General features: G+C 45.3%; 1 long non-coding RNA gene across 1 annotated transcript, besides 11 other annotated features; it reads left to right on the top strand.

Annotated features, from left to right (window-relative positions):
- The first annotated feature begins 331 nt into the window (after positions 1 to 331).
- On the top strand, positions 332 to 6540 carry HCG27 (HLA complex group 27). Its single transcript, NR_026791.1, has 2 exons — positions 332 to 454; positions 4944 to 6540. It is a non-coding gene; the product is annotated as an HLA complex group 27 (long non-coding RNA).
- Positions 1195 to 2078: an enhancer, noted in NCBI's record as "OCT4 hESC enhancer chr6:31166400-31167283 (GRCh37/hg19 assembly coordinates)". NCBI's record gives its function as "activates a minimal SCP1, AML or CMV promoter by ChIP-STARR-seq in primed H9 embryonic stem cells {active_cell/tissue: H9 hESC(primed)}" and the evidence as "EXISTENCE:reporter gene assay evidence [ECO:0000049][PMID:30033119]".
- Positions 2079 to 2961: an enhancer, noted in NCBI's record as "OCT4 hESC enhancer chr6:31167284-31168166 (GRCh37/hg19 assembly coordinates)". NCBI's record gives its function as "activates a minimal SCP1, AML or CMV promoter by ChIP-STARR-seq in primed H9 embryonic stem cells {active_cell/tissue: H9 hESC(primed)}" and the evidence as "EXISTENCE:reporter gene assay evidence [ECO:0000049][PMID:30033119]".
- Positions 4529 to 5069: an enhancer, noted in NCBI's record as "OCT4-H3K27ac-H3K4me1 hESC enhancer chr6:31169734-31170274 (GRCh37/hg19 assembly coordinates)". NCBI's record gives its function as "activates a minimal SCP1, AML or CMV promoter by ChIP-STARR-seq in primed H9 embryonic stem cells {active_cell/tissue: H9 hESC(primed)}" and the evidence as "EXISTENCE:reporter gene assay evidence [ECO:0000049][PMID:30033119]".
- Positions 5070 to 5608: an enhancer, noted in NCBI's record as "OCT4-H3K27ac-H3K4me1 hESC enhancer chr6:31170275-31170813 (GRCh37/hg19 assembly coordinates)". NCBI's record gives its function as "activates a minimal SCP1, AML or CMV promoter by ChIP-STARR-seq in primed H9 embryonic stem cells {active_cell/tissue: H9 hESC(primed)}" and the evidence as "EXISTENCE:reporter gene assay evidence [ECO:0000049][PMID:30033119]".
- Positions 5767 to 6487: an enhancer, noted in NCBI's record as "H3K27ac hESC enhancer chr6:31170972-31171692 (GRCh37/hg19 assembly coordinates)". NCBI's record gives its function as "activates a minimal SCP1, AML or CMV promoter by ChIP-STARR-seq in primed H9 embryonic stem cells {active_cell/tissue: H9 hESC(primed)}" and the evidence as "EXISTENCE:reporter gene assay evidence [ECO:0000049][PMID:30033119]".
- Positions 6488 to 7207: an enhancer, noted in NCBI's record as "OCT4-H3K27ac hESC enhancer chr6:31171693-31172412 (GRCh37/hg19 assembly coordinates)". NCBI's record gives its function as "activates a minimal SCP1, AML or CMV promoter by ChIP-STARR-seq in primed H9 embryonic stem cells {active_cell/tissue: H9 hESC(primed)}" and the evidence as "EXISTENCE:reporter gene assay evidence [ECO:0000049][PMID:30033119]".
- Positions 7208 to 7927: an enhancer, noted in NCBI's record as "OCT4-H3K27ac hESC enhancer chr6:31172413-31173132 (GRCh37/hg19 assembly coordinates)". NCBI's record gives its function as "activates a minimal SCP1, AML or CMV promoter by ChIP-STARR-seq in primed H9 embryonic stem cells {active_cell/tissue: H9 hESC(primed)}" and the evidence as "EXISTENCE:reporter gene assay evidence [ECO:0000049][PMID:30033119]".
- Positions 7928 to 8646: an enhancer, noted in NCBI's record as "OCT4-H3K27ac hESC enhancer chr6:31173133-31173851 (GRCh37/hg19 assembly coordinates)". NCBI's record gives its function as "activates a minimal SCP1, AML or CMV promoter by ChIP-STARR-seq in primed H9 embryonic stem cells {active_cell/tissue: H9 hESC(primed)}" and the evidence as "EXISTENCE:reporter gene assay evidence [ECO:0000049][PMID:30033119]".
- Positions 13544 to 14538: an enhancer, noted in NCBI's record as "OCT4 hESC enhancer chr6:31178749-31179743 (GRCh37/hg19 assembly coordinates)". NCBI's record gives its function as "activates a minimal SCP1, AML or CMV promoter by ChIP-STARR-seq in primed H9 embryonic stem cells {active_cell/tissue: H9 hESC(primed)}" and the evidence as "EXISTENCE:reporter gene assay evidence [ECO:0000049][PMID:30033119]".
- Positions 15040 to 15225: a silencer, noted in NCBI's record as "fragment chr6:31180245-31180430 (GRCh37/hg19 assembly coordinates)". NCBI's record gives its function as "represses an EF-1alpha promoter that drives an FKBP-Casp9 reporter gene in an ReSE screen in K562 erythroleukemia cells {active_cell/tissue: K562}" and the evidence as "EXISTENCE:reporter gene assay evidence [ECO:0000049][PMID:32094911]".
- Positions 18362 to 19263: an enhancer, noted in NCBI's record as "OCT4 hESC enhancer chr6:31183567-31184468 (GRCh37/hg19 assembly coordinates)". NCBI's record gives its function as "activates a minimal SCP1, AML or CMV promoter by ChIP-STARR-seq in primed H9 embryonic stem cells {active_cell/tissue: H9 hESC(primed)}" and the evidence as "EXISTENCE:reporter gene assay evidence [ECO:0000049][PMID:30033119]".

The raw sequence follows: 23891 nt of genomic DNA on the forward strand, positions 1-23891 counted from the left end.
CCAAGCTGGTCTCGAACTCCTGACCTCAAGTGATCCGCCCGCCATGGTCTCCCAAAGTGCCGGGATTACAGACGTGAGCCACCGCGCTCGGCTGTCACTGCAGACTTTGATGGGGGCCACACTCGGGGTATAAATTAGGATCCTCACTGAAAGGGCGGGACCATGGAGGCTTTTTCTTGGCCCCTTAGTTGTGGGTTTTCCTCTGGGCGGCGAAGCCAGTTTCCATCAGAACTGCCCAGAGGCGGGCGCTGCCTTCCTGGGGTGACGCAGCAGCAGGAAGAGTTTCCGGATCCTGGAATCCGTGGGCGGCCCGTGGGAGGGGCTGAGGCTCATTTCTCTACTCACCTGTCTCCGAATCCGTCGTGGTGTTTCAAGCGAGTCAAGATTCCAGATCGCGCCCCAGGCTGGACTCGGAATTACTGCCCCGCGGGTCTGCATTTTCACAGCGGCAGGTGTGAGTTCCCCGCCGCTGGAGACCAGAAGCCTGAAGGCAGCTCCGCCCACCCCAGCCCACAGCGCCGTTATTCCGTTTCTATATCAGTAAACACTTGTCATTTTCCGTAGACCAGGGCGGGGTGACGGGTGATCCCAGTCCTCGCAGTGAACTCTGGGGCGCAGAATTCAAAACGCTTGCGGTCGCCGAGCGCAGCCCCGCCCTGGGTTATGTAAGTGACAGCGCTGGGCCGTTTCTCTTTTTTTTCCGGACCCCGCAGTGGCGCCTAAAGTCTGCAAGGAGGAGGTCGCCTCTGTGCTGTGGGTCCAGGAATCTAAGGCGAGTGCTGAGGGAGAAAATGTAGTTGATGGGGCAGAGCAGAAGGGGCTGTAGGTGGGTTGGAGGGGGAGGGGAACGGGCAGCCAGGCCTGGACCCTGGGGAGTGACTCACCCGGAGCCGAAGACCATCTCAGCTTTCCCTAGCCCAGAAAGGGTGGGACTGGCTTTATTTCTGCCTGCCATCACCTCAAAATGCCGTGGGACAAATCTTACATATTATTATTGTTATTTATTTATGTATTTTATTTTTTTTGAGACAGTCTTGGTCTGTCACCCAGACTGGAGTGCAGTGGCGCCATCTGGGCTCACTGCAACCCCCACCCCCCCGGGTTCAAGCAATTCTTCCTGCCTCAGCCTCCCAAGTAGCTGCGATTACAGGCACCCCCCACCACGCCCGGCTGATTTTTATATTTTTAGTAGAGACGGGGTTTTGCCATGTTGTCCAGGCTAGTCTCGAACTCCTGACCTTAGGTGATCCACCCGCCTCGGCCTCCCAAAGTGCTGGGATTACAGGTGTAAGCCACCGCGCCTGGCCGGGAAATATCTCTTACAGAAATAAAGGCAGTTGGCTGGGTGTGGTGGCTCACCTGTAATCCTAGCACTTTGGGAGGGTGAGGCAGGCAGATGGTTTGAGCCTAGGAGTTTAAGACCAGCCTGGGCAAAATGGTGAAACCCCTTCTCCACCAGAAATACAAAAAATTAGCCGGGTGAGGTGGCTCATGCCTGTAGTCCCAGCTACTCCGGAAGCTGAGGTGGGAGGATCACCTGAGCCTGGGGAGGTCGCGGCTGCAGTGAGCCATGATTAACCCACAACTGCACTCCGCCTGGGTGACAGAGTGAGGCCCTGTGTCAAAAAATAAGAAAGAAAGAAGAGAGAGAGAGAGGAAGGGAGGGAGGGAGGGAGTTGAGGTTCAGAATATGTAACAGTGTTTATTGCTATACTCCATTCAATGGACTATGGACTATTATGCAGTGATTTAAAAGTAGGAGTTTGGGCTCACACCTGTAATCTCAGCATTTGGGAGGCTGAGGTGGGCGGATCACTTGAGGTCAGGAGTTCGAAACCAGCCTGGTCAACATGGTGAAACCTCGTTTCTACTAAAAATACAAAAATTACCCTGGCATGGTGGCACACGCCTGTAATCTCAGTTACTTGGGAGGCTGAGGCAGGAGAATCACTTGAACTTGGGAGATGGAGGTTGCAGTGAGCTGAGATTGCATCACTGCACTCCAGCCTGGGGGACAAGAGCAAAACTCCGTCTCAAAAAAAAAAAAGATATTTCCCACCTTGGATTGCTGGGTCGGGGGGTGGTGGGTATTTTCATTCATAATTGTCAGATTACTTTCATAAACAATGGAAACAGTTTCAGGCTCCTCAGCTTCTCACCTCCAAAATGGGCCTTTTCCTGTATCATTAACAGTCCTCAATGTTCTGGCTAATCAACTGAGCGACTGTTTATAGATTTGCAGGCCATTTGGATTTACAATTAATCTTATTAATGAGGCTGAAATGTGAAGTTTATCTCAGCCTCAAAGAAGTAATTCAGCAAGGATCAGTGGTTTCACTTAACAGTCTGGCTCTGAGGCTGGCTGTGGCCCTGTTATCCATGGTGAGCACCATGGGAATGCAGGCAAGGGCTGTGAGAGGCTTGGAACAAGGCTCCACCCAGGAGAGATCTGGGTGGGCGTTGGTGACCAGTAGAACCTAGGTGTCCTGGGCCAGTGCCCTTGGAGACTAGTCTTCTTTACCCCAGGCATCTTCTTTATTCTGGAATGAGCCTGCCCATCCCTCAGGAAGACTGAAAGGAATTCGGTCAGAAGAATATTATTGACTTTTATCCAGACTTGATTTCAGTAGAGTTCTGGGACCTGCCATATCCTATGGGTGAGCTCTATCCAGGTCCCCTTCCCTGAATTACCTGTCCTCTCCCCACTGACTGGGATGACACCTAATTTTACAACCTGCTGTAGCATCTTTGCTCCCACTGTGACAGTAAACTCCTTGAGACTGGTGGCCATCTTGGGAAGTGATTAGATTCAGAAGAGGTTGAGAGGTTGGGGCCCCCATGATGGGATTAGTGTCCTTTTAAGAAAAAGAAGAGACTGGAGCTCCCACTCTCTTCACCACGTGAGGATATGGCAAGAAGGCAGCTGTCTGCCAGGCAGGAAGAGGGCCCTCACCAGGAACTGAATCTGCTGGTTCCCTAACCTCAGATTTCCAGGGTCCAGAATTGTGAGAAAGAAATGTCTGTTGTTAACCAATCCATCTGTGGTGTTTTGTTATGGCAGCACAAGCTGACTAAACAAGTGCCAAAACCAAACCAGTAACTCCCACTTTCTAGTCTCGGACCCAGTATTAAGGAATTCTGGTCACATAGTTTATTCATCCATTTAACAAATATTTAGTAAGTGCTTCTGTGCCAGGCATTTTTCTAGGCCTGGTGATCATTTAATCAAAAGAGACTAACACCTGCTCCCTGATGCTTACAATCTGAAAGACAATAAAGAAAAATATAGTAACAGTAGTGAATTATATGGATGTGTTCCAGCAATTGATTGCTGAGCAAAAAATAATCTTAACGCATACAAACGCCGGGCATGGTGGCTCACGCCTGTAATTCCAGCACTTTGGGAGGCTGAGGTGGGCAGATCACAAGGTCAAGAGTTCGAGACCAGCCTGGCCAGCATGATGAAACCCTGTTTCTACTAAAAATACAAAAATTAGCTGGGCGTGGTGGTAGGTGCCTGTAATCCCAGCTGCTTGGGAGGCTGAGGCAGGAGAATCGCTTGAAACCAGAACGTGGAGGTTGCAGTGAGCCAAGATTGTGCCACTGCACTCCAGCCTGGGTGACAGAGTGAGACTCCATCCCCCCCAAAATATATATATATGTATATATATATTATAAACAACCTTTATATTATCTCTCATTCTGTGGGCTGATTGGGCTCAGCTGGGCAGCTCTTCCGCTCCATACAACATGGGCTGGGCCACCATCATCTGGAGCCCAGCTGGTCCAACACATTCAAGAGGCTCCTGCACAGGGCTGCAGTTGGTGCTGGCTTGTTGGCTGGGAACTCACTGAGGCTGTGAACCAGGTGACTTGGTTTCTCCTCCACCTGCTCCTCCACGTGCCCTGGCTGCTTCTGGCTCTGCACCTGGGGTCCGGGTGTTTCAAGTGGCCAAGTCAGAACCACAAGGCATCTTATGCTGGAACCTCAGAAGTCAGGCAGCATCACGTTCCTCATGTTCTAGTCACCAAAGCAAGTCCCAGATCCAAAAAGGGGGATTAGCATCAGCTCTTGATAGAGGATGGCAAGGTCACATTGCTAAAGAGCATGTGGGATGGGAGATATTGTTGAGGCCATCTTTGGAAAAGGACTTTTATGTTTACAAAGTGATAGGTGATAAAAAGAAAAAATAGGCCAGGTGCGGTGGCTCACGCCTGTAACCCCAGCACTTCGGGAGACCGAGATGGGTGGATCACGAGGTCAAGAGATCGAGACCATCCTGGCCAATATGGTGAAACTCTGTCTCTACTTAAAAATACAAAAATTAGCTGCATGTGGTGGCGTGCACCTGTAGTCCCAGCTACCCTGGAGGCTGAGGCAGGAGAATCGCTTGAACCCAGGAGGTGAAGGTTGCAGTGAGCCAATATCGCACCACTGCCCTCCAGCCTGGTGACAGAGCAAGACTCCACCTCAAAAAAAAAGAAAAAAAGTAAAAAAAAAAAAATGCAAAGTTGACAATCAATGCAAAGTAATAGAGGTGGCATTTTAAGTAGGGTGGTCAGGGTGGGCCTCATGAAGGTGCCATTTGAGCAGACTTGAAGAGGAGAGAAACTGAGACACGCAGGTATGTGCAAAGGAAGAACCTTCCAGAATCACCCTCATGTACACCTATGCTCTGTACATACCCAGGGCTCTGCACTGAGGCAGACCCTAAAGCTGCAGTGGGAATGGAGGTGGACACACTTATGGAAAGACTTCTTCAAAGAATGTTGGGGACCCAGGTCTACCCTTCCTGCTGTGGCTCTTATACGACGTGGAGTTGGGGAGGGAAAGGCACTGGCATGTGGAGGAAGACTAGGAGAGGAGGGGAGGCCAAAGCGTGTCCCACCCTCACTCCACCTCTCTGCTCTCTGTCTCCTACATCGAGTGCCTCCTTCCCCAGGGCTTGTGGTCCCTGACAAGGAGGACCCTGAGGGCAACCACACCTTGCCATGCAGAGCACCTGGCTTCTCATCTGCCAAGCTCACTCTGACCCGGCTGCAGGAAGGGAAGGAGCCAACCCCGGACTCAAGACTCAAGGGGACCAGAACCAGGGAGATGAGACATACCAGGGCTGGGCAGCTGTGGGGGTCCTTCCAGAGAGGAGCTGAGATACGCCTACCTGGAGGGGCCCCTGGGCCTGGAGGGGCTCCTCAGTGTGACTGGGTGAAGTGTTTTCAGAGGACCAGGGTTGAGGTTGGGGGCATCTCATCCAGACCCTGCCGGCATCTGCCCCAGAACCCAAGGGCCCCTCCTTCCTCCCTCCTCAATGGAAATGCTGGAGATGTCCTCAGTCACCCTCTGAGCACTCACACATCACCCCTTATTTGGAAATTTTTCTCACTCTAACCTTCCTTCCTGCCGCACCTTCTGCCCCATCCCCAGGCTCTGGCCTCTCTCTCTCCTCTTCTACCCTTTAGCAGGTAATGACTCAGTTCCCACTGAGGAGCCAGCTGTAGGTGAGAGTTTGGGCTCTCGGTGAGGTTGGGAGAAGGAAAAGGCTTATGGGCCAGGGGGTGGGAGGGAGAATGGGCACAGCCAGAGCAGAGTGGAAGGGTTGGGGGAGGCGATAAAGACAGATGTTTCCGTATTACCATTTTTCTTTCATGGTCCGAGGGAGCTGCCCTTCCCCCAAGCCCAGGAAAGTGAAAAGAGAAGCAGGAACAGTAAAATACTCCACAGGAAAGAAAAATCTTAGTGATCCCTCCTGCTGTCTCTTTCCTTTTGCCTATTCTGGCAAATTTTGTAAGTGAAATTTGTTACCAAGATGTGAAAATCTTATAAGAAAGTCTCTAAATATTTGAGAATAAAATTATCAATGTCTCAGCTCTGCAGGCTGAAAAAACGGAGGCTTTACAAAATAAAATCATGCTTGGAAAACTTCTCCTCTGAGGGATGTCAAAGGCTGCACTGAATAAGCTCTAAGGTGGTGCTGAAATGAGTCATTTATTTGCCTGTGTAAGCTCAGGCAGGTGTTGGAATTGAGGAAGTATAGGTAATGAAAAAAGTAAACATGTCCTCGGGACATAGCGACTGGTGATGACCACACAATCAACACAATAAACTCTAGCATTCACATTGTAGTCCAGCTCATTCAAGCAAAGCTATCTCCAATAGGGAGTTTACCCTGTACAGAACACGTGCATTTCCACCTGTTCTCAGACTGACCCTTTGCTCATCACAATAGTGAAAAAAAACACAGCCCTGGGTGGAGATTTAAGATGCTAATGAGTCATGAGATGTATGAACAAGCATGTACAGCTACTGCACACGTGCACCCAGAAGACCGCCCAGAACATGCTTGCTAGTAACACCTCTTCCCACCCACCTCCTGTGAATAATCATGTAAGACTCCCATAAAGGGAGTTTCTCCAGCAGTGATCAATGCTGTCTCATCCTTAGGAGCAGCCCACCCTGAATCCTCTCAGGGTGTACAGTTTATTTTGCACTTAACTTTCAAAATAATATTTTTCCTTTGTAATAAATTGCTTTGTACTTCATCTCCTTTGCTGCGTGTTTCTTGTTTAAATTCTTTTAAATGAAGAAGTCAAGAACCAAGGTATTACAACAGCCGTCAACATTTCCGGTGCCATGACTCAGAGGTTTGTCTGCTTCGTTGGTTTCAGTTTCCCTTCACTACTGGTGAGTACTATGGCAGCCAGAGACCCCTGATTGACTATCACTGCTTTCCCCAGATCTATTAAGGTTTTGGGGGAGGACCTTTTAACTCACTCACATTCTTTGAGCAACTAATTGTGATTGCTTTCCATTTGGCTGCTGCTTTTACAGTGTTTACAATTACCTTATTTGGATGGAACGCCCTGATTATTCAGCCTTGGGACTTTTGCTGCTTCTGTTTCACTTTTTGTTTTGCTGTTCCTCCCAGGACTGCACCTGATCTGTACTTACTGGCTATTGTAACTTTTTTTTTTTTTTTTTTTTTGAGACAAGAGTCTCACTCTGTCACCCAGACTGGAGTGCAGTGGCTCTATCTCGGCTCACTGCAACCTCCACCTCCTGGGCTCAAGCGATTCTCCTGCCTCAGCCTCCCAAGTAGCTGGGATTACAGGCGTGCACCATCACGCCCGGCTAATTTTTGTATTTTCAATAGAGTCGGGGTCTCACCATACTGGCTCAGCTGGTCTCGAACTCCTGACCTTATGATCAGCCCACCTTGGCCTCCCAAAGTGCTGGGATTACAGACATGAGCCACCGCGCCCAGCACTTGTTTGTTAATCAAGTAATCTCTTCAAAGATTTTTGTTCACCTTGAGGGACACATTAGATCTACTTTTGCCAACAGTCCCCATTCCTCCAGGCTCTGTGTGTTCTGAGACTCCTCTGAGTCTCAGAGGAGTGTGTTCTGAACGTCTCCTCTGAGAACAGGAGACGTTCCAAGAGGCCATCCATGTTGAGTGCAGGATGTGTGGCCACATGGATGTGTAGTCATGGGGACTATAACCAGGCATTCCAAGCATGATGACTGGACATTAAAAATGGCAGATCAGTGAAATAAGGAAGGGCTTGTTGGTGAGACATCCAGGCTCCCCGGCTGGCAGCAGAGATCACTTCAGTTCAGCTTGGAGACGTCCAGCACCAGTGAGACCTAGAATGGTGCATGGCAAATGCCCATGACCTCCTAGGGCCTCAGTTTCATGGGGATTCAAGGGAACACCCTGGACTCCATCGTCCGGCTTAGCTCACAGGGATGCCGATGACCTCCTGGATTTTGGTACATGTTTCTGTGGTTGCAGGATTCTCTTGTTACCTAGAAAGCCACCTCCTCTACTGTCACTGAAACACCTCTAGGGTATATACTAAACATTGGAATATTTTGAAACTGTATAAATTAAAAGATAATAGGTGGGTGCGATGGCTTACACCTGTAATCTCAGCACTTTGCGAGGCCGAGGTGGGCAGATCACCTGAGGTTGGGATTTTGAGACCAGCCTGACCAACATGGAGAAACCCCATCTCTACTAAAAATACAAAATTAGCTGGGCATGGCGGCACATTCCTGTAATCCCAGCTACTCGGGAGGCTGAGGCAGGAGAATTGCTTGAACCAGGAGGCGGAGGTTGCAGTAAGCCGAGATTATGCCATTGCACTCCAGCCTGGGCAACAAGAGCAAAACTCCGTCTCAAAAAAAAATTTTTTTTAAATAAATATAATAAACAATTGCCAAAGAGTAAAACTATTGATACAATCCTCACCACTTTAAGGCTTAAGGTTTTCTTTTCCATCACTGAGTCTCTCCCTTTCCTCTCATTCTTCCACTTACAAATCTCCAAAACAATTCTCACGCACTGTGACTTTGCTCCCTTCAGCTGATTTATCAGTTCATCCTGATAGCCTGATAGGTGACAAGCAGAGGTGAGGACTTCAAAGTTCACACCAAGTAGATCTAGTTCACTGTGGCCCTCCTTGACAGGAAGTTTGTGAAGCTGGCAGGGCTTCCGTCCAGGCTGTGCACTGTCTGGGAATCCTCATTTGCAATGTCTGGAGATCTTCATTTTTCTTACTACTAACAATCATCTTGTTATGTTTGCACTTCTTTGCATTTCACCCCTTTTGAATTCTGTCCTTCCATGAAAATTTATTGTCCTTTTTGATCCATCTGTATTCACAGACTTTCATTTGCTTTCTTTTTCTCTCTAACCCGTAAGACTGATAAAAATTGTCCTAAAGTTTCTTTCTTTCTGCTTTGTGTGTCAGGGCTCCTCTGCCTTTGGTGAGAGCAGAGTTTTATCTTTACCGGAAGAAAACTTTTTTTTTTTTTTTTTTTTGAGATGAAATCTCACTCTGTCACCCAGGCTGGAGTGCAGTGGCCCGATCTCAGCTCACTGCAACCTCCACCTCCCTGGTTCGAGCAATTCCCCTGCCTCAGCCTCCCGAGTAGCTGGGACTACAGGTGTGTGCCACCACGCCTGGCTAATTTTTTTGTATTTTTAGTAGAGATGGGGTTTCACCATATTGGCCAGACTGCTCTGGAACTCCTGACCTCAGGCAATCTGCCTGCCTCAGCCTCCCAAAATGCTGTGATTACAGGTGTGAGCCACAGTGCCCAGCCCTGGAAGAAAACTAATTGCTGGGTGAAATATATTTTCTACCAAATTCCCCTTACGAGACCTAGAAAGCCTAATGAACATAGCTACTTACATGTCCTAAGCTGTTATTTTAAGGCCAAAATTAAAACATTAAGGGCACATATAAGGTTGGCCATTACTAACCTGAAAAAAAAGATAAATAAATTTCCATGATTAGGTCTTTTCAACATTGCATAGTCCCAAACAATACTGTTTTACAATTAGAGTTTTTGTTGTTGTTGCTGTTTTTAAATAAAAAGAAAGGAAGTTTGGGTGCAGTGGCTCATGCCTGTAATCCCAGCACTTTGGGAGGCCAAGGCGGGCAGATCACGAGGTCAGGAATTTGAGACCAGCCTGGCCAATATGGTGAAACCCCGTCTCTACTAAAAATACAAAAATTAGCTGGGCATGGTGGCACGTGCCTGTAGTCCCAGCTACTCGGGAGGCTGAGGCAGGAGAATCACTGGAACCTGGGAGGCAGAGGTTGCAGTGAGACAAGATTCAGCCACTGCACTCTAGCCTGGGTGACAGAGAGAGACGCCATCTCAAAAAAAAAAAAAAAAAAAAAAAAAAAAAAGAGGATGATCAGGGATTTTCCAAGGGCCCAGGGGAACCTGACATTATTCCCCCTACTAACCAGACAGCTCTATACTAAGACCAGTCCCTTAGAGACTGATACCAAATCTATTATGCTCATGTTATTCAAAAGAATTTGGGAGGCCGGGCGCAGTGGCTCACGCCTGTAATCCCAGCACTTTGGGAGGCCGAGGCAGGTGGATCATGAGGTCAGGAGTTCGAGACCAGCCTGACCAACATGGTGAAACCCCATCTCTACTAAAAATACAAACATTAGCCAGGCGTGGTGGCTTGCACCTATAATCCCAGCTACTCAGGAGGCTGAGGCAAGATAATCACTTGAACGTGGGAGGCGGAGGTTGCAGTGAGCCGAGATCGCACCACTGCACTCCATCCTGGGTGACAGAGCGAGACTCTGTCTCAAAAAAGAATTTGGGGAAATCTAACATAATTAATGACTCTATAATAAGAAATATACCAGCTGGGTGCAACAGTGGCCCTTTGGGAGGCCAAGGTGGGTGGATCACTTGAGGTTAGGAGTTCGAGACCAGCCTGGCCAACATGGTGAAACCCTGTCTCTACTAAAAATAAAAAAATTAGTCGGGTGTGGTGGCGCAGGCCTGTAATCCCAGCTACTTAGGAGGCTGAGGCAGGAGAATCACTTGAGTCCAGGAGGCGGAGGTTGCAGCGAGCTGAGATCATACCAATGCACTCCTGCCTGGGTGATGAGTGAGACTCTGTCTCAAAAAAAAAAAAAAAAAAAAGAAAGAAAAATACCTCCTACCAACAACTTTCCTCCCTTACAATCTAGTCCAGGGTTACTCTTCAAACCTCTTAAGCTTCTACTCCTGTAGTCCTTCCTCACTTGACACACAGTCTTCTGCACCCCGTCCTTATCAGCTTGTTCACCAAACACTCCCTAAAGAGCCCAGTCCTGCTGGGACAACTCATAGCAGAGTATCCTATTGCCCCCCTAAAACAAAAAGCAACCTACTCTCACTCTCTATCTGTATCTCCCTCTCTCAGGTAACACACAGAAAAACAACCAAATCCTCTTAGAGACCTACTTCATGAGTCAGTCTGTCCCAGATATCAGGAAAAAGTCACAAAACTAGTCATAAATCCCCAAGTCCCAATAAATGAACTGCTAAACCTAACTTTTGGTGTCTTTAATTACCAAGACAGAGTGGAAAAGGCACATAGAGATCAAAGGGAAGAAAAGAGAGACAAAAGATAGTCCCAATTTTTGGCCTTCACTCACTATGCGAAAACTCCCACCTCCAGGTCATCCTGAGTGGAACCCAAGGGCTATTCCTGCATTTATAAAAAGCCTGGACACCGGAGCTAAGTAAGTAACAAAGGCCTTCAGGCTTGCAAACCCTCTGGAGCCTGTCATCAATGTGACAAAGAAGGGCAATGGAAGAAGGACTGTCTCCAACTCTGAAGGGAGGAGGGACTCCTAATTCCTTATTGTCCCTGGCTAAAGACTAAAGAGACCAAAGGCAAAAAACAGCTCCTATGTGGCAATCAGCCCCAGTCACAGCAATGGAGCCTCGGATGACCCTGGACATGACAGGCAAAAATATCAATATCCTTTTAAAGACAGAGGCTGGCCTGTCAGTTCTCACTGTCTGCCCTGGGCCTCTGTCTACCAAACACGACACTGTCATTGGTGTTAATAGCAAACTCCAGACTAGGATTTTCACTCTACCATGCAGCTGACCAACTTCTGCTGCAGTAAAACTTAGGGGTGTAGGCCTTTGGTGTGTTTATCAAAAATAAAAAATGATTCCTTTTAAGTCATCACAGAAACTTGAAACAAAGACTCCAAGCTATTCCTATGAAGCACTGGAGGATCTAAGGCTCCTGTCCAAAAACAGCCAAGACCCAAAACATCAGGCAATTAATGTTGCCTCAGCATAAGCTTCTATTCAAGAAAACAACTCACAGTGAAATGTGATGTTTTTATTTTTTTCTTATTTATTTACTGTATTTTAGGCGCTTTTAGTAAAACGACCTTATCTGCTAAAGAAATAATAAACCATACTACTAATTTATAAAAATTAACTCAGTCTTGCTGGCTTTGCATGACTACCAAAATTTAAAAATGTGCAAAACCTGTTTCTCGGGAAGAATGGGCCAACATTCCTATACACCTCCTGGAACAAACTTTGGACCATAATGTGGGAATATCTGACTAAACAAACAATACAAAGAGAGTTCCTTGGACCTGGCCACTGCCAGTTCAAACTTCCATTTTTATCTATGAATAATAGCTTCACTCTGCCAAGGGGAAAATTGCTTTCTTACCTTGCTTTTTACCCAGAGCAATTCCCCTTCTGCCTTTACAGCAACCATGCCAGTTTCACTCCTTTTATAGAAAAACTCCACAAGAGAGTCAGTATATCTAAACCTTTCTCACAGAATCATTTATACACCTCATGATAGAACCCTAAAGGGGGAACTTTATTTCAAAAAGCTTATTAACACCACTCAACTCTACCATCCTCTAATTAGTCCAGTGACCACCAAATTTCCATTACTTTTACCACCTCGATGCAAAATGCTTTTGCAGCACAAATTTCACCATCACATAGAATTTGCTTGTGTTGGCCGGGCGCAGTGGCTCACGCCTGTAATCCCAGCACTTTGGGAGGCTGAGGCGGGTGGATCACGAGGTCAGGAAATTGAGACAATCCTGGCCAACATGGTGAAACCCTGTCTCTACTAAAAATACAAAAATTAGCTAGATATGGTGGCATGTGCCTGTAATCCCAGCTACTCAGGAGGCTGAGGCAGGAGAATCGCTTGAACCAGGGAGTCGGAGGTTGCAATGAGCTGAGATCGCACTACTGTACTCCAGCCTGGCGACAGAGTGAGACTGTCTCAAAAAAAAAAAAAAAAAAAGAATTTGTTGGTATTTGTGGATCTTCAGCACGTCTACAACTCCCTCCACAATGGAAGGGACGATGTCCCATAGTTTACATTTCCCCTTATCTACCTTTTGCGTTGGCTAACAAATCTCTCCCTTTCCCCATGTACCAACATCACAAGATCCACCGCTGAGCAGGATTCCTTGTTCCCTTGGGATTAATGCTATCCTCTCTATCGGGACTAGCAGAGCCAGCCACAGAGACAGAGCCTTGGGAACCCAGCATAAACTGTCTCAGGAGACCACAGTGGCCCTCTGACAAACAGCAGAGAGCCTCACTAGACTTCAGCAACAGCTGGACTTCCTGGCAGTCCTACAAAACCGAAGAGCCTTAGACCTTCTCACAGTTGGACAACGAGGAACATGTTTGTATCTAGAAGAAGAATGTTGTTTTCGCATCAATCAAATTACAAATATATATTAATAGCATTTTCTTGGAATAAGAAAATCATTACCCAGGCAGACAAAATTGAATATTTAGGAGCTTCCGTGGGAACTTGGAAGCAATGGCTGTTTTCTGCCTTGCTCCCTTTAACAATGCCAGTCATTACCATATGTTTAGCTCTAACTTTTGGTCCAACTTTGTTTAAAATGCTGATTTCCCAGCCTGGCCAACATGTCGAAACACTGTCTCTACTAAAAATACAAAAAATTAGCCAGGTGTGGTGGCAGGCGTCTGTAATCTCAGCTACTTGGGAGGCTGAAGCAAGAGAATTACTTGAACCTGGGAGGCAGAGGTTGCAGTGAGCTGAGAGCTGAGATCACTCCATTGCACTCCAGCCTGGGCATCAGAGCCAGACTGTCTCAAAAAAAAAAAAAAATTGCTGATTTCTTGCTTTGTCACCTACAGCAAATCCCGGTTCATGTGATGGTTTTGCAAGGCTTCCAACCTTTGGCTGCTAATTAGCTATCTCACATCTTGCCCACCAGTCCCCTGAAAGACATGGCTTACACACTGTTAGACTAGGCAGGAAAAGACTTCAGGGCCCAGGTTAGGCAAGGACAATGCCGCACTCAGCAGGAAGCAGCTCTGGAAGAAATGACCTAGCCTCTCATCCTCCCGTATGATTATGGGTCCTAAGATCTTTTAGGGAGGAATTGAGGCAGGATAGGGAGTCAAGGAAGTAACTGTGTCCTTGGGATGCAGCAACAGTGATAACCATACAGACAACACAATAAGCTCCAGCATTCACATTGTAGACCAGCTCATTCAAGCAAAGCTATCTCCAGTAGGGAATTTACCCTGTAGAGAGCATGCGCATTTTGATTTTACCTACCGTCAAACTGACCCTTAGCTCATTACAATAGTAAGAAACACACACCTGGGTGGAGATTTAAGATGCTTATGAGACATGAGATGCATGAACAAGCATGTATAGCTACTGCACATGTGCATCCAGAGGACCACCCACCCAGAGGACCACCCAGAACATGCTGACTAGTAACACCTCTTCCCACCTCCTTATGAATAATCATGTAAGACCCCCATAAAGGGAGTTTCTGCAGCAATAATCAATGCTGTCTCATCCTTAGGAGCAGCCCACCCTGAATCCTCTCTCTCAGGGCATACTATCTATTCTGCACTTAACTTTCAAAATATCATTTTTCCTTTGCAATAAATTGCTCTGTACTGCATCTCCTTTGCTGTGTGTCCCTTGTTTACATTCTTTTAAATGAAGAAGACAAAGACAGAGGTATCACAGATGTCATCAACAGAACCTCTATGTCCTCCTTAGGAAAGTGAAATGAGCACCCAATGCCCAGATTTTGGTTATAATACATCAATCTCCAATAGAAGGAACCAGGGCTCCTTAGAAAAATAGCTGATTCTAGGGGTGAAGTAGGAAAAATACAAGATAAGCCTGGAACATCTTGAAATGCTACAAAAGAACTGGGCATGGTGGCTCACGCCTGTAATCCCAGCACTTTGGGAGGCTGAGGCAGGCGAATCACAAGGTCAGGAATTCGAGACCAGCCTGGTCAACATGGTGAAACCCCATCTCTACTAAAAATACAAAAAATTAGCCAGGCGTAGTGGTGGGCACCTGTAATCTCAGCTACTCGGGAGGCTGAGGCAGGAGAATAGCTTGAACGTGGGATGCAAGACCAGGAAGACTCAATATTGTTAATATGTCATTTCTTCCCAACCTGATCTATAGAATCAATGCAATCCCAGTCAAAACCCCAGGACGTTATTTTGTGTATACTCACAAGCTGATTTAAAAATTTATATGGAGAGGCCGGGCACAGTGGCTCATGCCTGTAATCCCAGCACTTTGGGAGGCCGAGGTGGGCAGATGACCTGAGGTCAGGAGTTCAAGACCAGCCTCGCCAACATGGTGAAACCCCGTCTCTACTAAAAATACAAAAATTAGCTGGGTGTGGTGGCGGGTGCCTGTAATCCCAGCTACTTGGGAGGCTGAGGCAGGAGAATCGCTTGAACCCAGGAGGTGGAGGTTGCAGTGAGCTGAGATTGCACTCCAGCCTGGGCAACAGGAGCGAAACTCTGTCTCAAAAAAACAAAAAACAAACAAACAAAAAAGGTTTATATGGAGAGGCAAAAGGCCTAGCCAGCACAATATAGAAGGAAAACAAAGTCAAAGTACTGCCACACCTGACTTCAAGACTTTCTATAAAACTGCAGTAATCCAGACAGATAATTGGTATAGTCATTGCTGGAAGGAGTATGAAGGTTCCTCAAAAAATTAAAATATAGAACTACCATATGATCCAGCAATCCTACCACTGAATATATATTCAAAGGATATAAAATCTGTGTGTCAAAGAGATGTCTGCACTTCCATGTTCATTGCAGCATTATTCTTTCTTCTTTCTTTAGAGTTAGGGTGTCACTGCATTGCCCAGCTTGGTCTCAGAATCCTGGCCTTAAGTGGTCATCTTGCCTCAGCCTCCTGAGTAGCTGGATTCCATGTGCGAGCCACCACACCTGGCTGCAGTGTTATTCTCAAGAGCCAAGATATGGAATCAACCTAAGTATCCATTAATGGATGAATGTATAAAGAAAATGTGGTATATATACACAGTGGGATACTATTCAGTCAACAACATGAATGAACCTAGAAGACATTATGTTAAGTGAAATAAGCCAGGCGCAAAAAGACAAACATGATCTCACATATATGTGGAATGTAAAAAAAGCCAAACTCATATACATGGTGAGTAAACCGGTAGTTGTCAGAGGCTGGGAGGTGGGAGGATTGGGGAGGGGTAAGCAAATGACACAAAATTTCTTTTCTTTCTTTCTTTTTTTTTTTTTAAAGACAGAGTCTCGGCTGGGCGCAGTGGCTCAAGCCTGTAATCCTAGCACTTTGGGAGGCCGAGGCAGGCAAATTGCCTGAGCTCAGGAGTTAGAGACTAGCCTGGGCAACATGGTGAAACCCTGTCTCTACTAAAATACAAAAGAAATTAGCCGGGTGTCGTGGCATGCGCCTGTAGTCCCAGCTACTCGGGAGGCTGAGACAGGAGAATTGCTTGAACCCGGGAGGTGGAAGTTGCAGTGAGCTGAGATTGCACCACTGAACCACTGAACTCCAGCCTGGGCAACAGAGAGAGACTCTACCAAAAAAAAAAAAAAAAAAAAAAAAAAAAGACAAGAGTCTCTCTCTGTCACCCAGTCTGGAGTGCAGTGGCATGATCTTGGCTCATTGCAGTCTCTGAATCACTCGGGTTCAAGTGATTCTTGTGCCTCAACCTCCCAAGTAGCTGGGACTATATGCATGTGACACCACATCCAGCTAATTTTTGTATTTTTAGTTTCACCATGTTGACCAGTCTGGTCTCGAACTCCTGACCTCAAGTGATCCACCCGCCTCGGCCTCCCAAAGTGCTGGGATTACAGGCATGAGCCATCATGCCCGACCAACACAAAATTTCAATTAGATAGGAAGAATAAGTTTAAGAGATCTATTGTACTTTATGGTGATTAAACTTAGTAACCACATATTGTATATTTCAAAATTATAAGATAAATTATTTGAAGCATTATTACCACAAAAAGTATGTGAGGTAATGTATATGTTAATGGCTTGCTTTAGCCATTTTACAATGTATACGTATATGAAAACATGATGCTATACACCCAAATATAACTTTTATTTGTCAACCAAAATAATTTAATTTAAAAAAGACAGTGTTGTATTGGCAAAAGAATAGACAAATAGATCAATGAAACAGAATAGAGAACCAAGAAATAGACCCACGTAAATACAGATAAAGGAGCAAAGACAATACAGTGGAGAAAAGACTGTCTTTTCAATAAATGGCACTGGAAAAACTGGACATCCACATGCAAGAAAAGTGAAATGAAAAGAGCTCTCTTGAAAGGTTGTTGTGAAGGTCATCTGTGACAGGAACAAAAAGTGCCCAGCAGGGTCTCTGACAGCAAGCTCCTACATTAATCTAATGGCTGGACTTCAATAGCCTTAGCCCCGTCTCCATAAAACTTTGCTATGAAGGCTACAATGATTCCTGTCAGTCATGCAGTCCTACTAACCTGCTGGGTAGGATACAATATCGAAGGGGCCAGTATACTGCCCTCAGGGGGCTCTGTGGCCTCTTGACCTTGTGGATGATGCTGACCATAATGTTCTGCTTGTCCCTGGCTGAAGACAGGCCCCTCCTGCAGAGGCCAGGCATGAATGCACATCTGAGTAAGACTCTATTATGACTCAAGAATAACAAACATAAATAAATAAACATGATAACATAACAAACTAGGTTTCATTTTCTGCTGCTGTAACAGAATACCACAGACTGGGCAATTTATTAAAATATGTATTTCTTACAGTTCTGGAGGCTGGGAAGTCCAAGAGCATGGTATCAGCATCTTGTGGGGGCCTTCCTGTAGTGTCATCCCATGGTGAAAGAGGTAGGGCAAAGGGGCCAAACATACTTTTTATCAGGAGCCCACTCCCACAATAATGACATTAATCTATTCAACCTAATCAACTCTTAAAGGTCTCCCCTCTTAATACTATCAGAATAGCAATTAAATGTCAACATGAGTTTTGGGGGGTCATTCAAACTGTCAGAGGCATGTGAACCAGAGCAACTCCATCTTGAATAGGGGCTGAGTAAAATAAGGCTGAACCCTACTGGGCCACATTCCCAGACGGTTAAGGCATTCTAAGTCATAGGATGAGACAGAAGGTCAGCACAAGATACAGGTCCTAAAGACCTTGCTGATAAAATGGGTTGCAGTAAAGAAGCTAGCCAAAACCCACCAAAACCAAGATGGTGATGAGAGTGACCTCTGGTCGTCCTCACTGCTACACTCCCACCAGCACCATGACAGTTTACAAATGCTGTGGCAACGACAGGAAGTTACTCTATATGGTCTAAAAAGGGAAGGCATAAATAACCCACCCCTTGTTTAGCATATCATCAAGAAATAACCATAAAGATGGGCAACCAGCAGCCCTCAGGGGTGCTCTGTTGATGGAGTAGCCATTCTTTTGTTCTTTTACTTTTCTAATAAACTTGGTTTACTTTACTCTATGGACTTGCCCTGAATTCTTCCTTGTGCAAGATCCAAGAGCCCTCTCTTGGGGTCTGAATCAAGACTCCTTTCCTGTAACAAAACCTTAGCATTAGGTAATCTGTGGTTTACTTTTTTTTTTTTTTTTTTTTTGAGACAGAGTTTCTACTCTTGTTGCCCAGGCTAGAGTGCAATGGCACGATCTTGGCTCAACGCAACCTCCACCTCCAGGGTTCAAGCGATTCTCCAGCCTCAGCTTACCGAGTAGCTGGGATTACAGGCATGTGCCACCATGCCTGGCTAATTTTGTATTTTTGGTAGAGATGGGGTTTCTCCATGTTGGTCAGGCTGGTCCCAACCTCAGGTGATCCTCCTGCCTTGGCTTCCCAAAGTGCTGGGATTACAGGAGTCAGCCACCGAGCCTGGCCTGGTTTATGTATATTTATCTTTATTCCTACATTTCCATGATTATGAGATTCACAGTTCATCCAATAGACTTGAACTGACCCAATGCCCAGCACTTTCTTAAGTTCTTACAGATGAACAAAGCTAATATTCACAGATTCTATTTATTTATGGCTTAGGACTACCTACTGTAAATTACTGGGGGCCAGTCCATTTTGGAGTTCATAACCTAAAGCAGAAACTCAGGTGGCTAATATGTTACTTTCATGAAGGATTGTTATGAGTGTATCATTTCAATTGTCTTGCAGAAGCCTCATTTGTTCTGTTAGATACAGTAAGTTCCTCTTCAAAGGTTCAGCTTCTTCAACTTCCTTGTTCTTTGTTTTCTATTTCTAAAACCCAACTTCCTTGTACTCTCTTGTTCCTAGTTACCCGCTCTGTAAACACCAACTCCCACCAGTTCCAATCTGTAACTTGCAGAGGGCTCTTCCTGCCTTTGCCATGCCCTGACATGTTTTGCACAGTAAAGGATGGCCTCTCTCTTCTCGCTGAAACAGCCCTTCCCGCCCTACTTACTCACACTCCTGCTCCATTTGAAATAGCCAATTGGGATCAGCTTAGATTGTGCAGTCTGACTTCAGCAAATGGGGACAGGACACAGTAGCAGGGGCTGATTGCGTTAGGGATAAAACCCGCTTCTGTCCATTGTTCGGTGTGCTCTCACAGCAGCCAGAAGTGCAAGCAGCACCCTTCTGCAGAAGTAAACTTGCCTTGCTGAGAAATCCTTTTGTTTGAGTGCTTGTCTTCTTTGCGACTCCAAGCTCTTGTTTTTTTTTTTCTAAATAGCTGCTATCTTTTTGTTTTTGTTTTTGTTTTTGTTTTTTTTGAGATGGGGTCTCACCTTGTTGCCCAGGCTGGAGTGCAATGGTGTGATCTCAGCTCATTGCAACCTTGGCCTCCTGGGTTCAAGTGATTCTCCTGCCTCAGTCTCCCGAGTAGCTGGGATTACAGGTGTGTGCCACCATGCCTGGCTAATTTTTTGTATCTTTAGTACAGATGGGGTTTCTCCATGTTGGCCAGGCTGGTCTTGAACTCCTGACCTCATGATCTGCCTGCCTTGGCCTCCCAAAGTGCTGTGATTACAGGCATGAGCCAATGTGCCCAGCCTCTTTTTTTTTTTTTTTTTTGAGACGGAGTTTCACTCTGTTGTCCAGGCTGGAGTGCAGTGGTGTGATCTTGGCTCACTGCAACCTCTGCCTCCTGCCTCAGCCTCCCGAGTAGCTGGGATGACAGGTGCCTGCCACCATGCCTGGCCAATTTTTGTATTTTTAGTAAAGACAGGGTTTTGCCATGTTGGCAAGGCTGGTCTCCTGACCTCAGGTGATTCACCCACCTCGGCCTCCCAAAGTGCTAGGATTACAGGCATGAGCCACTGCACCTGGCCCCTTGTTTTTAATTTACAAATGTAATTAATTTAGCTTTGTAAACCAAAAAGTGACTGAGGCAGATCTCAATCAATTCGGTGTTCATTTTGCCAAGGTTGAAAATATGCTGGGGGAAAAGAAACATAAGCCACAATAGGACCTGTGACCTGTGCTTTTTCCAAGGAGGATTTTGGGACCTTCAATATTTAAAGGAGAAAGGGCAAGCAGGAGAGGAAAGAAAAAAAAAGGAAGGACAGGTAGGCAATGATGCGAGTGGTTACATACTTGTGAGGCTGTGATTAGTCCTTAGTGAATCTACATTTTACATGTGAAAAGAAGGGAGGGAGGAAGAAGTCAGTTATGCATTCACATCATGTTCAGTAAATCTATATTTTACATAAGCTAAAGTAAGCATGTAAAATTACAGTTATATGTTTGGGAACAAAAGGAAGGCAAATTTTGCATGACTCAGTTTCCAAGCTTAATTTCTTGCATAGCAGTTTGGGGTCCTGAGATTCTATTTTCTTTTCACATTTCTCCCTTGTTATTCAAAATCTTTCAGAGAAAGCATGGTAGAAGAAAATGGGTGTCTGCTCATGGGTTTAGTCTAACCTCTTCTGCTAGAATGATTTATTCCTGGAAGATTAGATCCCATGTTGCTAGGAAGGCTTATTCTTAGGGGCTTGTAAAGTCTCTTGTCCCATGGAGAAAAATAGAGGGAGGAAGAGAGAAAGAAAAAAGGGAAAGAGAGAAAGAAAAAAGGGAAAAAGAGAAACAAAAGGGAGGGACCAAGACCAGATTATAGAAACAAATGGAATGCAATCCTGGAAAAGTAATTTAGGATATGCTACCGAGAAGTCCATACTTCAGTAGGCAGGCACAAAGGTGGGGTGTGTGAGGCTCTGATTAGTGCTCAGTGAATCTACATTTTATAGGTGAAAAGAAGGGAGTAGAGAAAAAATCTATTATGCATTTGTCTTGCACTTAGTAAGTCTACATTGTACATAAGAAAAAGTAAGCTTGTGAAAATACAGTTATCTGCAAATGCTACTATTTCTGCTATTACGCTACAAAGTTTAAATTTTCTAGCTTCAGTTTGCAGGGCTGTAAGAAAAGCACAGTTTTAATTTCTAGTGATTCCAAGTGAGAAAAATGGGAGAAATTTTTCTTTTGAAAATGTTACTTTGGAGACTTATAGCCAGGGAAGAATTCAGGATCTAGTCTGAATAAATTGTAGACAAATAGTGAAAACTGAAAAACAATGGACAAGGCTAGAATCTTATAATGAGTATACTATAATTTTCTTTGAAATAATTTTTCTCTCTCCAGTCCCCTATTTTTACCAAAATCAAAATCATAGTGGGACCAACGTATCTGCAAAATAAGTTTTAGTCTTATTATACTTGGTCTGATTATTTGCATAAAGCGCAGCAAGAATAATTATTGGCCAATAGGCTCTTTTTTTTTTTTGAGACAGAGTTTCCACTCTTGTTGCCCATGCTGAGTGCAATGGTGCAATCTCAGCTCACTGCAACCTCTGCCTCCCGGGTTCAAGCGAGTCTCCTGCCTCAACCTCCCGAGTAGCTGGGATTACAGGCATGCGCCACCAAGCCCAGCTAATTTTGTATTTTTAGTCAGGACGGGGTTACTCCATGTTTGTCAAGCTGGTCTCGAACTCCCAACCTCAGGTGATCCATCCGCCTTGGCTTCCCAAAGTTCTGGGATTACAGGCCTGAGCCACTGTGCATGGCCCTAGGCTCTTTTTGAATTGGTTTTGCTAGAGCTTTTCATAAGGAATCTCAGATTAGAGTTTTTCTTGAGTCCAGCCAAGGATTTATCTGTGCCTGCAGATACTTGTATGAATGAGGTAAATTTCTGTCTTCTCAAGGTCTCAAAATAACGTGTGGTTCCTAGGTCTGTGAGAAAGTGATATTCTTACTTACTACCTGTCAGGAACCCTGTAAAGGAAATGCGTAGACAAAGTATGAGGTCAGTTTTTCCAAGGGTTTTTTTTTTTTTTAATCAGTTCTATAACATCAATCTCAAGTTCTCAAAGCAGTCTGCTTATATCTTAAAATATGGCATTCTAGCCAAAGCCTTGGTAAAATAATCAGTGTCAAAATTATGTCCTGTTAAGAAAGAAAACAGATTTTTATTAAACTCATGCAACTAAGTATATTGCCATAAATCATGAATACTCAGAAATAAGGCCAGGCGTGGTGGCTCATGCCTGTAATCCCAGCACTTTGGGAGGCTGAGGCAGGCAGATCATGAGGTCAGGAGATCGAGACCAGCCTGACCAACATGGTGAAACCCTGTCTCTACTAAAAATACAAAAATTAGCCAGGCGTGGTGGCGGGTGCCTGTAATTCCAGCTACTCAGGAGGCTGAGACAGGAGAATCACTTGAACCCGGGAAGCAGACATTGCAGTGAGCTGAGATCGCCCCACTGCACTCCAGCCTGGGAGATAGAGCAAGACTCCTTCTCAAAAAACAAACAAACAAACAAAATCTCAGAAATAGTTTCTGAATTCTGGAGAAATCAGGTAGAGAGAAAGAAATATGCCTCAAATTTTGCTTACAAGAGTACGCTTCATTGTGAAAAGCTGTAAATGTTCAAAAGAAAAGTTTTCTTGACTCTGAAAAACAAAGCAAAAAGAATCAGCAATGTTTCCAACAAAAAAAGTTATAAAAGATTATTTTGGCCAGGCGTGGTGGCTCACCTGTAATCCCAGCACTTTGGGAGGCCAAGGCGGGTGGATCAGAAGGTCAGGAGTTTCAGACCAGCTTGGCCAACATGGTGAAACCCCATCTCTACTAAAAATACAAAAAATTAGCTGAGCGTGGTGGTGCACATCTGTAGTCCCAGCTACTTGGGAGGCTGAGGCAGGAGAATCACTTGAACCCAGCAGGTGGAGGTTGATGGTGAGCTGAGATCATGCCACTGCACTCCAGCCTGGGCAACAGAGCGAGACTCCATCTCAAAATAAATAAAATAAAATAAAATAAAATAAAATAAAATAAACCCCTCTAACTAGGCAGAATTACTTTTCCTTTAACAAAAGCCCTATTTCCATGCCTTCTTATGTTTCTACCAAAAACCACATTCTACTTTTCTTTGCATGTTGCTTGTAGAATTATTTATCTTATATCTAGTAATTTAAATTACATCTATGAATTGTAATGTTAACTCTTAGTAACTCTTATTTTTAGTGAAAAAACTAGGAGGTACACAATTTTAATTAGTACCTCCTGCAGAACGCAATCTCGGCTCACTGCAACCTCCGCCTCCCAGGTTCAAGCGATTCTCCTGCCTCAGTCTCCCAAGTAGCTGGGACTACAGGTGTGTGCCACTACGCCCGGCTACTTTTTTTTATTTTTAGCAGAGATGGAGTTTCACCATGTTACCCAGGACGGTCTCAATCTCCTGACCTTGTGATCCGCCCTCCTTGGCCTCTGAAAGTGCTGGGATTACAGGCGTGAGCCACCGTGCCCGGTCTATCATAGGATCTTATAAGGAGATCAACTGCATTTAGATAGGTGCTTTTAATTTGGCCTGTATCTTTTAACTGGACCATTGAACTCAGGGTAGAGCCCACACTGAATTTTCAGTGCCCAGAAAGAGAGTAATGCCATGGGGACCTGGCCATACAATATTTTTAGTGTGTTTTGCTACAAAAACTTTCTCTCAAGGCTGGTGGGCAACCCAGTGCCAATCAGCCCACTCTGTGATCAGCCCATTTCCCAGCCATTGTATACGCCAAAGTCAAGTTTTCTCACAATATAAAGTGATTTCTGATCCCATTCAAAGCCAAAATCAGGTCATGCAAGGCAAAGGAACAGAGTTTTTGACCTGAGAGGATTTTGTCCTCTCTTGGATTCCCTCTTGGGATTCCCTGAGGAAAAAACAGCAGTTTCTCACAAAAATGCGT

This window comes from Homo sapiens, chromosome 6, assembly GCF_000001405.40.
Source record: "Homo sapiens chromosome 6, GRCh38.p14 Primary Assembly".
Lineage (NCBI taxonomy): Eukaryota > Metazoa > Chordata > Mammalia > Primates > Hominidae > Homo > Homo sapiens.